Genomic DNA, 13,491 nt, shown 5'->3' with positions numbered 1-13,491 from the left:
CCTGGGAATTTGAGGCATTTAGTTGGGCCCTGTAATAATCTAACTATTGAAAAGCTCTCCTTTCTGAAGCCGCACCTCAGTTGTGACCATGCTGCCACCACCATGTCAGCTGATGGATGCTCTCCCCTAGTAATGAAGATGTGCTCTGTGGATAGATGTTCAATGCACAGAAAGGAGGTCTTCTTGTGAATCATTCTTCTGTATGTCTGCTCCTCATGACAGACTCTTGGTCAGATTTCTGCCTTCCAAACACATCTTAACCCATAGTTTTGCTCTCTCTGAAGAAAAATCACAGTTGTGACATCTGATCAGTTTGTGGGGAGTTAGTTCTCAAGGATGGCTTTTTCCAGGTGTCACTTTTACTCCTCAAAATGCTATGTTAAAGTTGCAAAGGTTTCTTGAAAACCTGAAAAATACATGACAATGTGCTCAGAAGAATAGCTAAGACATAAAAGATGCTATATAAGTGTTTCAAAGGCACTATTGTAGATTTCCTCCCCACTCCAGATTTAAAGGAAATTAAGGTTATAAAATGTTAAATGATAAACTTGAGGGACTGCAATGGGAAATTGTTTCTAAGTGAAATAATTATGTAGAAGCTGGATAGACTCTTGTGCCACAGTGCCATATACTTTAATGTTATTAACTTAATTTGCATTTCTTAAAAGTTCACCGAAACTAGTCTAATCTCATTTTTGTTTCTCCACTGTTTCTCTTGAGTCTTTCAAATACCTAATTTTTACTTATTTCTTAATATTGCATCATAAAGATGAGGAAATTGGGGCACAGAAAAATAGAAGTACTTGCCCGGGGTCATACAGCTGGTCAGTAGAAGAGCTAGGATTTTAATCCTAGCTACAGCTCCAGAGACCATGCTTTTAATTACTGTGACATCCTTTCCTGCTTGATATTTGACTGAACACCCTATGTAACTTTTCTTTTATTGGTTTAATAATGAGCTAATAGTAATTGCATGTTTACTACACATTAGGCTATATTGTTGGTGATAAGGATAACCTGAAAAAGTCCTCAAGTGATTGTTCCCACATATAACTGCAAGTAAATATTATTTCTTCATAAATGTATTCCCAGTATTGTCTACAAGTCACAGTTAGAAGAAATAATTGAGACAATGGAACCAACTATAACTCATAGAGAGAAATCTCTGCCAAGGCCTAAGAAGAGGTCTTCACAGTATCCCCAGCCCAAACCCTTCAGTACTCGTATATCCAACTTAAATTTCTCTGGCTGCATTTTAAGCCTATTTCATCTAGCCTTGTCCATAGGTAGAGATGGAAATAGTTGTCCACTATTTCCTCTGTATGGACATTTTGTATGTTTGAAAGTTATTATATTATATATTGTCACGTCTAATGTGCAAGTTGCTTAAATTCAGTTACTTTGCCTTTTCCTATAAATTTTATTTCCCAACTCCTAAAATGTATTTTAACAAAAGGTTTCTTTTAATATTTATGTTGAAATATAATTTGTCTGACATAATTTTTTTTAAAAAAATCAATTGTTTACACTCAGAGAAATATATGAAACAAGTTTATTATCCATTTTAATGTTGGATTCCTTCTGTATTAAAAATGTTTTAATATATTAGAGGAGGAAAATACTAGGATAATTTTATAAAAGGAAAAATGAATGAGTAATTAGTTATAATACTGTAATTTTAAAGAAGCAGGGCAATGCTACGTGGTACATTGAAGCATTTGTTTTATTCTTGTCCAGTGTCGGGCAAAGTCATTGGCAGTTGTAATCGTCAAGTTCTCAGTGGTAGCTCTGATATCTTGCCAAGGTATTTCAGAAAAAACAATCATATTTATTTAAATGTCCAACCCAAGGGTCTTAGTGTTACCTTATCTATGCAGATAAAGTTCAAAGCAAATCAAAATTTGAAAACCTCACAAAATTAGTATTGTTTTACATATTTAATCAGAATTACTTATTTTAGGAACAGGAAACTTTTTTGGGGAGCATGTTTATGACAATTATATTATGTCTTGTATAATAAATAGCCTATTTTAAAGTAATGCAGAAGAAGGGCAACACAAATAAAGTTTTATCTTTATAAAAGACTGTTGATTTTCTGAGAGTCTACTGGAAATAATGAAGTAAAAAGAGATCTTTGGCTGCCAGCTTTTCAGCATCACTCCTAACACAGTGACACAGTGTTCCAAGTGCTCTAAAAGAAAAGAAGTGATTAGAGACTTCATGGATGATCCCCTCAATTCATTTCTTAGAGGAAAAAAGTTCCCTCTCTTACAGCTAGAACCACAGGAATTGCTCAAATCCAGATGATCGGATAAATTCGTTATTGAAATGACAATGAAAGTAATTGCATTGTTAAGATTGTCAACTTTTTTTTTTTAAAATAACCCCTCTAGCAATCCAGACATACTGATATTAGTAACAAAGGGAAAGAACAGTTTTATAAACAATATCCTTTAAAATTCTCCAAATACAACATCATTGCATTGCAATTTTGCTGTGACTAATAAAGAATGGATTTTTTGAGGTCCGTCAGGTAGTGTTTGAACAAATGTACCTTTTGTACTCATAGATTTGAAATAAGGAAAAACATCTCAGTTGTTTACAAGGCTTTCCTCCTCATTTTATACATTTTTATTTTTGGTGTTAAAAAAGGCATAGTTAAGCTTGGTTAGCTAATTTTATATGCATACAGTTGGAAAGGATGAGGTTTTTTATTATTATGGCCTGTTTAGACATATACGCTTATACGGGAATTTTAACTAGAATATAAATAAGATGTATTGAAAGGATAATTAATATAAACTAAGGATGATATTGCCTAAATAAATGATTATTTTATAAAATCTTCTCTTTCTTTGTAATATTATTTCAGGCATTAAAAAGGAAATGGCATAATAGAGCAATGACTGCAAATTATTCCTTTTGTTTGAATACCTCTGTCAGTCTTTCACGTTTGATATACGTGTTTTTGAAATGTAAGCCTATAGCTTAAGCTAAACCAAATAGTTCAAGAAGTAAGTTTTCTCTGGTGAAAGGCTAGGGTAACGGTAAACCTGTTTCACATTTTTTTGGCATAAATTCAGATTTTCTGTTTGAAGTTATGTCCTTCCTTGCTACATTTTGATTTGGCACATATAACTAATACTGAAAGTGTGATTGTTTATGGCTAAACTGTGGACTTCATTTGTGTAAATTGTGGATGATTTCTAAGCTTGGAACACAGGTACTCTGAATTCCCTATGAAAAAGAAAATCTTATTTACAGAGGAAAAAATTAAAGATGATCTTTTTTTTAAGGGAATGAAAGGAAGTAGAAATAATGTTATATATAAAACATAATTTGTGATAATTTTTAGTGTTTGGAAAGCTTTCTTAGTGAAAAAAATAAAATTTTCCTCTATGTAATCTTCACATTAAAGAGCAAAAGCTGGATGTGATACTGTCTTAATCTCCTCTTTTCATGCCCATGTTATACAAAGTTAGGGGATTGACTTAAATTTCCTTTTCTTAACCTCTATCTTGATGGCCATAATCGTTATTCATATTTTCTTCCCTGTTTGGTCAAAAATTGTTAGGTGTTATAAATTTCAAAATGTTCCTGTTTCCTTAGGGCAAGTTGTGCTATTTTACATCTTTATGAGAACTATGATTTGAAATTGTTCTTGACTCACTCTATGAAAAATATGCAATTTATTGTAATCTAATGAATTAAATGTTGATAAACTATTTGACTCAGTAGCATTTTTACTGAAAAATTCAGTGGATAAATGATGTCTCCTGCTACTTTAAAGTACATCAAAACCAGAGCTGGGATTGAACTAAGTTAGTGAATCCTCTCTTTTTTCTTTTTCCTCACACATCCTATTCAATGTGTGATCAGGAAGGCCTCCACGGGCCGAGACAGATTTGGCTTCTCTGTTGGAAACCTTGGTTTGCTCTAGCGATGCGCTGAACTCTTCAATTTTGATACCTGTGTTAGTCTGTTTTCCTGCTGCTGATAAAGACATATTTGAGACTGGGAAATTTACAAAAGAAAGAAGTTGGGTGGTTCCAAGATGGCTGAATAGGAACAGCTCCAGTCTACAGCTACCAGCATGAGTGATGCAGAAGATGGGTGATTTCTGCATTTCCAACTGAGGAACGCAGCTCCTCACCAGCAATGGAAAAACGGTGGACGGAGAATGACATTGATGAGTTGAGAGAAGAAGGCTTCAGACGACCAAACTTCTCCGAGCTAAAGGAGGAAGTTCGAATCCATCGCAAAAAAGTTAAAAAACTTGAAAAAAGATTAGACGAATGGCTAACTAGAATAACCAACATAGAGAAGTCCTTAAATAACCTGATGGAGCTGAAAACCATGGCACAAGAACTACGTGATGAATGCACAAGCTTCAGTAGCTGGTTTGATCAACTGGAAGAAAGGGTATCAGTGATTGAAGATCAAATGAATGAAATGAAGTAAGAAGAGAAGTTTAGAGAAGAAAGAATAAAAAGAAACGAACAAAGCCTCCAAGAAATATGGGACTATGTGAAAAGACCAAATCTACATCTGATTGGTGTACCTGAAAGTGATGGGGAGAATGGAACCAAGTTGGAAAACACTCTGCAGGATATTATCCAGGAGAACTTCCCCAACCTAGCAAGGCAGGCCAACATTCAAATTCAGGAAATACAGAGAACGCCACAAAGATACTTCTCGAGAAGAGCAACTCCAAGACACATAATTGTCAGATTCACCAAAGTTGAAATGAAGGAAAAAATGTTAAGGGCAGCCAGAGAGAAAGGTCGGGTTACCCACAAAGAGAAGCCCATCAGACTAACAGCTGATCTCTCGGCAGAAACTCTACAAGCCAGAAGAGAGTAGGGGCCAATATTCAACATTCTTAAAGAAAAGAATTTTCAACCCAGAATATCATATCCAACCAAACTAAGTTTAATAAGTGAAGGAGAAATAAAATACTTTACAGACAAGCAAATGCTGAGAGATTTTGTCACCACCAGGCCTGCCTTACAAGAGCTCCTGAAGGAAGCACTCAACATGGAAAGGAACAACTGCTACCAGCCACTGCAAAAAAATGCCAAATTGTAAAGACCATTGATGCTAGGAAGAAACTGCATCAACCAACGAGCAAAATAACCAGTTAACATCATAATGACAGTATCAAATTCATACATAACAATATTAACCTTAAATGTAAATGAGCTAAATGATCCAATTAAAAGACACAGACTGGCAAATTGGATAAAGAGTCAAGACCCATTAGTGTGCTGTATTCAGGAAACCCATCTCACCTGCAGAGACACACATAGGCTCAAAATAAAGGGATGGAGGAAGATCTACCAAGTAAATGGAAAGCAAAAAAAGGCAGGGGTTGCAATCCTAGTCTCTGATAAAACAGACTTTAAACCAACAAAGATGAAAAGAGACAAAGAAGGCCATTAGATAATGGTAAAGGGATCAATTCAAAAAGAAGAGCTAACTATCCTAAATATATATGCACCCAATACAGGAGCACCCAGATTCATAAAGCAAGTCCTTAGAGACCTGCAAAGAGACTTAGACTCCCACACAAAAATAATGGGAGACTTTAACACCCCACTGTCAACACTAGATGATCAACAAGACAGAAAGTTAACAAGGATATCCAGGAATTGAACTGAGCTCTGCACCAAGAAGACCTAATAGACATCTATAGAACTCTCCCCTCCAAATCAACAGAATATACATTCTTCTCAGCACCACCTGGCACTTATTCCAAAATTGACCATATAGTTGGAAGTAAAGCACTCCTCAGCAAATGTAAAAGAACAGAAATTATAACAAACTGTCTCTCAGACCACAGTGCAATCAAACTAGAACTCGGGATTAAGAAACTCACTCAAAACCGCTCAACTACATGGAAACTGAACAACCTCCTCCTGAATGACTACTGGGTACATAACAAAATGAAGGCAGAAATAAAGATGTTCTTTGAAACCAATGAGAACAAAGACACAACATACCAGAATCTCTGGGACACATTCAAAGCAGTGTGTAGAGGGAAATTTATAGCACTGAATGCCCACAAGAGAAAGCAGGAAAGATTCAAAATTGACACCCTAACATCACAATTAAAAGAACTAGAGAAGCAAGAGCAAACACATTCAAAAGCTAGCAGAAGGCAAGAAATAACTAAGATCAGAGCAGAACTGAAGGACACAGAGACACAAAAAACCCTTCAAAAAATCAATGAATCCAGGAGCTGTTTTTTTGAAAAGTTCAACAAAATTGATAGACTGCTAGCAAGATTAATAAAGAAGAAAACAGAGAAGAATCAAATAGATGCAATAGAAAAATGATAAAGGGGATATCACCACTGATCCCACGGAAATACAAATTACCACCAGAGAATACTATAAACACCTCTATGTAAAGAAACTAGAAAATCTAGAAGAAATGAATAAATTCCTGGACACATAGACCCTCCCAAGACTAAACCAGGAAGAAGTTGAATCTTTGAATAGACCAATAACAGGCTCTGAAATTGAGGCAATAATTAATAGCTTACCAACCAAAAAAAGTCCAGGACCAGACGGATTCACAGCCGAATTCTACCAGAGGTACAAGGAGGAGCTGGTACCATCCTTCTGAAACTATTACAATCAATAGAAAAAGAGAGAATTCTCCCTAACTCATTTAATGAGGCCAGCATCATCCTGATACCAAAGACTGGCAGAGACACAACAAAAAAAGAGAATTTTAGACCAATATCCCTGATGAACATCGATGCAAAAATCCTCAATAAAATACTGGCAAACCAAATCCAGCAGCACATCAAAAAGCTTATCCACCATGATCAAGTGGGCTTCATCCCTGGGATGCAAGTCTGGTTCAACAAACGCAAATCAAAATACATAATCCAGCATATAAACAGAACCAAAGACAAAAACCACATGATTATCTCAATAGATGCAGAAAAGGCCTTTGACAAAATTCAACAACCCTTCATGCTAAAAACTCTCAATAAATTAGGTATTGATGGGACGTATCTCAAAATAGTAAGAGCTCTTTATGACAAACCCACAGCCAATATTATACTGAATGGGCAAAAACTGGAAGCATTCCCTTTGAAAACTGGCACAAGACAGGGATGCCCTCTCTCACCATTCCTATTCAGCATAGTGTTGGAAGTTCTGGCCAGGGCAATGAGGCAGAAGAAAGAAATAAAGGGTATTCAATTAGAAAAAGAGGAAGTCAAATTGTCCCTGTTTGCAGATGACATGACTGTATATGTAGAAAACCCCATTGTCTCAGCCCAAAATCTCCTTAAGCTGATAAGCAACTTCAGCAAAGTCTCAGCATACAAAATCAATGTGCAAAAATCACAAGGATTCTTATATACCAATAACAGACAAACAGCCAAATCATGAGTGAACTCCTATTCACAATTGCTTCAAAGAGAATAAAATACCTAGGAATCCAACTTATAAGGGATGTGAAGGACCTATTCAAGGAGGACTACAAACCACTGCTCAATGAAATAAAAGAGAATACAAACAAATAGAAGAACATTCCATGCTCATGGATAGGAAGAATCAATATCGTGAAAATGGCCATACTGCCCAAGGTAATTTATAGATTCAATGCCATCCCCATCAAGCTACCAATGACTTTCTTCACAGAATTGGAAAAAACTACTTTAAAGTTCATATGGAACTAAAAAAGAGCCCATATTGCCAAGTCAATCCTAAGCCAAAAGAACAAAGCTGGAGGCATCACGCTACCTGGCTTCAAACTATACTACAAGGCTACAGTAACCAAGACAGCATGATACTGGTACCAAAACAGAGATATAGACCAATGGAACAGAACAGAGCCTTCAGAAATAATACCACACATCTACAACCATCTGATCTTTGACAAACCTGACAAAAACAAGAAATGGGGAAAGGATTCCCTATTTAACAAATGGTGCTGGGAAAACTGGCTAGCCATATGTAGAAAGCTGAAACTGGATCCCTTCCTTACACCTTATACAAAAATTAATTCAAGATGGATTAAAGACTTAAATGTTAGATCTAAAACCATAAAAACCCTAGAAGAAAACCTAGGCAACACCATTCAGGACATAGGCATGGGCAAGGACCTCATGTCTAAAACACCAAAAGCAATGGCAACAAAAGCCAAAATTGACACATGGGATCTAATTAAACTAAAGATCTTCTGCATAGCAAAAGAAACTACCATCAGAGTGAACAGGCAACCTATAGAATGGGAGAAAATTTTTGCAATCTACTCATCGGACAAAGGGCTAATATCCAGAATCTACAAAGAACTCAAACAAATTTACAAGAAAAAAAGAAACAACCCCATCACAAAGTGGGTGAAGGATGTGAACAGACACTTCTCAAAAGAAGACATTTATGCAGCCAAAAGACACATGAAAAAATGCTCATCATCACTGGCCATCAGAGAAATGCAGATGAAAACCACAATGAGATACCATCTTGCACCAGTTAGAATGACAATCATTAAAAAGTCAGGAAACAACGGATGCTGGAGAGGATGTGGAGAAATAGGAACACTTTTACACTGTTGTTGGGACTGTAAACTATTTCAACCATTGTGGAAGACAGTGTGGCAATTCCTCAGGGATCTAGAACTAGAAATACCATTTGACCCAGCCATCCCATTACTTGGTATATACCCAAAGGATTATAAGTCATGCTGCTATAAAGACACATGCACACGTATGTTTGTTGCGGCACTATTCACAATAGCAAAGACTTGGAACTAACCCAAATGTCCATCAATGATAGACTGGATTAAGAAAATATGGCACATATACACCATGGAATACTATGCAGCCATAAAAAATGATGAGTTCATGTCCTTTTAAAGGGACATGGATGAAGCTGGAAACCATCATTCTCAGCAAACTATCATAAGGACAAAAAACCAGACACCACATATTCTCACTCACAGGTGGGAATTGAAAAATGAGAACACTTGGACACAGGAAGGGGAACATCACACACTGGGGCCTGTTGTAGGGTAGGGGGAGCGGGGAGGGATAGCATTAGGAGATATACCTAATGTAAATGACGAGTTAATGGGTGCAGCACACCAACATGGCACATGTATACATATGTAACAAACCTGCATGTTGTGCACATGTACCCTAGAACCTAAAGTACAATAATAATAAAAAAAGAGGTTTAATGAACACACAGTTTCATGTGGCAGAGGAGGCCTCACAATCACAGTGGAAGGTAAAAGGCATGACTCACATGGTGGCAGACAAGAGAAGAGAGCATGTGCAGGGAAACTGCCCTTTATAAAACCATTAGATCTCATGAGACTTAGTCACTATCATGAGAATAGCATGGAAAATACCCACGCGGTGATTCAAATATCTCCCACCAGGTCCCTCCCACAACATGTGGGAATTATGGGGGCTAGAATTCAGGAGGAGATTTGGGTGAAGACACAGCCAAACCATATCATTCTTTCCCTGGCCCCTCCCAAATCTCATCTCCTCACATTTCAAAACCAATTATGCCTTCCCAACAGTTCCCCAAAGTCTTAACTCATTTCAACATTAACTCAAAAGTCCATAGTCCAAAGTCTCATCTGAGACAAGGCAAGTCCCTTCTGCCTATGAGCCTGTAAATTCAAAACCAAGTTAGTTACTTCCTGGATACCAGGGGGGTACAGGCATTGGGTAAATACAGCCATTCCAAATGGGAAAAATTGGCCAAAACAAAGGGGCTAAAGGCCCCGTGGACGTCCAAAATCCAACAGGGCAGTAAAATCTTAAAGCTCCAAAATGATCTCCTTTGACTCCAAGTCTCACAACCAGGTCACACTGATGCAAGAGATGTGACCCCATGGGATGGGATCCCAAGGTAGCACCCCAGTGGGACTCTGTGTGGGGACACCCACCCCACATTTCCCTTCCACACTTCCCCACCACAGGTTCTCCATGAGCACCCTGCCCCTGCAGCAAACATCTGCCTGGACACCTAGGCATTTCCACACATCCTCTGAAACCTAGGGAGGTTCACAAACCTCAATTATTGACTTCTGTGCACTGCAGGCTCAAAACCACAGGGGAGCTGCCAAGGCTTGGGGCTTGCACCCTCTGAAGTCATGGCCTGAACTGCATCTTGGCCCCTTTTATTCATGGCTTGAGTGGCTGGGGCACAGGGCACCAAGTCCATAGACTGCACACAACAGAGGGATCCTGGGTCCGGTCTTTGAAATCGTTTTTTTTCTCCTAGCCCTCTGGGCCTGTGATGGGAGAGGTTGCCACAAATTTCTCTGACATGCCCTGGAGGCATTCTCCCCATTGTCTTGGTGATTAACATTCAGCTCCTCGTTACTTACGCAAATTTCTGCAGCTGGCTTGAATTTCTCCTCAGAAAATGGGATTTTCTTGTTTATCACATTGTCAGGCTGCAAGTTTTCCAAACTTTTATGCTCTGTTTCCCTTTTAAAACTGAATGCCTTTAACAGCACTCAAGTCACCTCTTGAATGCTCTGCTGCTTAGAAATTTCTTCAGCCAGATACCCCAAATCATCTCTCTCAAGTTCAAAGTTCCACAGATCTCTAGGGTAGGGGCAACATGCCACAGTCTCTTTGCTAAAACATAACAAGAATCACCTGTGCACTAGTTACCAACAAGTTCCTCATCTCCATTTGAGACCACTTCAGCCTGGATTTCATTGTCCGTATCATTACCAGCATTTTGGTCAAAGCCATTTAACAAGCCTCTAGGGAGTTCCAAACTTTCCCACATTTTCCTGTCTTCTGAGCCCTCCAAACTGTTCCAACTTCTGCCTATTATCCAGTACCAAAGTTTTTTCCACATATTCAGGTATCTTTACAGCAGCACCTCGCTCTTGGTACCAATTTACTATATTAGTCCATTTTCCCACTGCTAATAAAGACATATCTGAGACTGGGCAATTTATAAAAGAAAGAGGTTTAATAGACTCACAGTTCCATGTGTCTGGTGGGGGCCTCACAATCATGGTGGAAGGTGAAAGACATGTCTCATATGGTGGCAGACAAGAGAAGAGACCTTGTGCAGAGGAACTCCCCTTTATAAAACCATCAGATCTCATGAGACTTATTCACTATCATGAGAATGGCACGGTAAAGACCTTCCCCCATGATTAAATTATCTCCCACCAGGTCCCTCCCACAACACCTGGGAATCATGGAAGCTAAAAATCAAGATGGGATTTAGGTGGGGACATAGCCAAACCATATCAATACTGAAGGAAAGGGCAGTGGGTATCGAGAGTTCAAAGACCTGGTTTCTTCTCTTATCCGTCACCTCTAGTGCTAGAAATTTGAGCAACCCCTCCAGTGTCTCTCCCTAGATGACAGTATTTGTGAAGTGAGAGTGTTAGGCCCTTCAGGCATTTTTTCAATTGAAAATGCAATATCTATGACTCTGTGAAAGTCCTGTCTGTAACTCTACTAGCCATCTTGAAAAATAACAAAATTATCACTGCAAGCACTCTGGAGTTATTCTGAATGGCTAGACCTAAAGTTTAATCTTTTGGATGATCCCTATGACTATAGTGAACTTAGCTTAATTAGGTGGTCAGCTCCTAAGATAACAAATGCTACAATAAGCTCCAATTGTGGTGAATTTCTGTAACTTGAAGAATATCATTCAATTTTCTTTGAAACATTAGACCCTTGTGAATTTGTTCTATTCATTGAATTTGGTCCTATTACTTCATCCAATAATTGAATTAAACCTGCTTTAAAATAGTATTAATTGAAGTTTACAAAAAATGTATTTATATATTTAAGTTCTACTGAGAGAAAGAAAACCTACTCCTACATCTACTTTAAATTACATTTGACATCCTAGTCATGAATGATAATATCATAAAGGTTAAGTTTTAAAATACCACTTTGGTAGTATTATGGAGGATAAAGTGGAAGATAACCAGAATGTAGTGATTAGCAGGCAATTTCTATCACACAAGAAAGAAGTATTAGAATCCTGGAAGGAGGATTTGTTGAAGTGATTGACAAGAAAGGGAGATATGTGTGGAAATGTTAAGAAAGCAGAAGAGCCACATTAGATCTGGCATGAAAGAAACATGACATATACAATGACTTTCTGATATTTGGTTTGAAAGACCCGATGAATTCTTGTGCCCCAAATGAGATTTAAGATAAAAAATATCTATTTTGAGATAAAGTTGTACACTTGGAAAATACATGTGTGGCTAAGTGAATGCTTCATTAAAGAAAAATCAGGGTTTTTTTTTTTTAACTTTTTACTAGAAAACGAAATGCAGATGTAGAAAAGCACACATATGTGTAGCTCAATGAGATATTTTAGGGTGAACAACCTTGTAACTACCACTCTAGTCAATAAATAAAAACTTGCCAGCTACCTAGAGATCTCTCCATAATTCCTATACCGTTTCCAACCTTCTCTCTCCTCCCAAAAGTGATAACTATTCTGACTATTTTAGTTATCACTCCCTATATTTCTTTATAATGTTACATCCAAGTGAGGATTCCTAGGTAACATAATTTAGTAGTACTAAAATTTTGCTATTTTTAAGCCTTTTATAGTCTGCTGAAAAACACTGCATATTTGACCTGTAGAGAATATCTCACAATCTGAATTTTATAGGCAGCAAAATCATGTCTACATTATCTCTTTTTTGTGATATTATCAGAAGTGGTTCTAATGCATCAATTCATTAATTCACCAGGGAATTTCCTCTATTATTTCTATTAATTTATTAGTTGAATACTTTTATGAAGAGACACATCCCCTCATCTTGTACTTGGTTAACCAATGGAAAATTCAAATTGGAAAGGCTTGATAAATTCTTGACTCTGTCCTGCTTTATATCCATATTCAAGAGAATTAATTGGTTGCCTGTTATCCTTCAACATTTAGCAATTAGTTTTTAAGTGTATTATTACGAAATATTTTGTCTATCACTAGCCACTAAAAGCCTCTACAAATTGGCTTTTGAATCCTTTTAACATGATTATAATGGCCTTGATGTATGATATGGAGTCAGACATACTAGTTTCATTTTCCACATTCCCTGCTCCAGTCCTGAAATCAGCCATATCCCCACAGAGCCTCACTTTCTTTTAGTGATAAGTGATCATTTAAGACTATAATCTGGCAGTTAAGTGTGCTCATTTCAGCTGGACTGTATTACGTAACTATGTAGTCAGCAAAATATAAAAGTTAGCGTTTCAATAGCATGATTGATATTGATAATTCCAATTGAAATGCAGGTTTCGTGTTTTCCTTTTTTTTTCTTTTTAGCTTAACATCTTCTACATTCCATCTATATTTCTCCAACTCTAAAAACCCTTATCTTGAGATCACAAATGATGATAATTACTCACTTAGTTTATACAGCATCAGACACACAATAATCTTGGAATAATAATATGAATATTCCACTGCTTGTATAATTAATAAGGACAGTCAAAAGTATTTTTTC

The 13,491-nt window shown here is 37.2% G+C and overlaps 1 long non-coding RNA gene across 1 annotated transcript in view; it reads right to left on the bottom strand.

Annotated features, from left to right (window-relative positions):
* Positions 1 to 238: 238 nt before the first annotated feature.
* The window catches only part of LINC01378 (long intergenic non-protein coding RNA 1378), a 260,706-nt gene continuing 247,453 nt past the window's right edge, over positions 239 to 13,491 (bottom strand). Inside the window, exon 4 of the long non-coding RNA NR_125757.1 lies at positions 239 to 406. This is a non-coding gene — a long non-coding RNA (long intergenic non-protein coding RNA 1378). The remainder of the gene's footprint in view (positions 407 to 13,491) is intronic.

Source organism: Homo sapiens, chromosome 4 (genome assembly GCF_000001405.40).
Source record: "Homo sapiens chromosome 4, GRCh38.p14 Primary Assembly".
Taxonomy (NCBI): Eukaryota; Metazoa; Chordata; class Mammalia; order Primates; family Hominidae; genus Homo; species Homo sapiens.
This window is presented reverse-complemented; position numbering and strand designations above follow the sequence as displayed.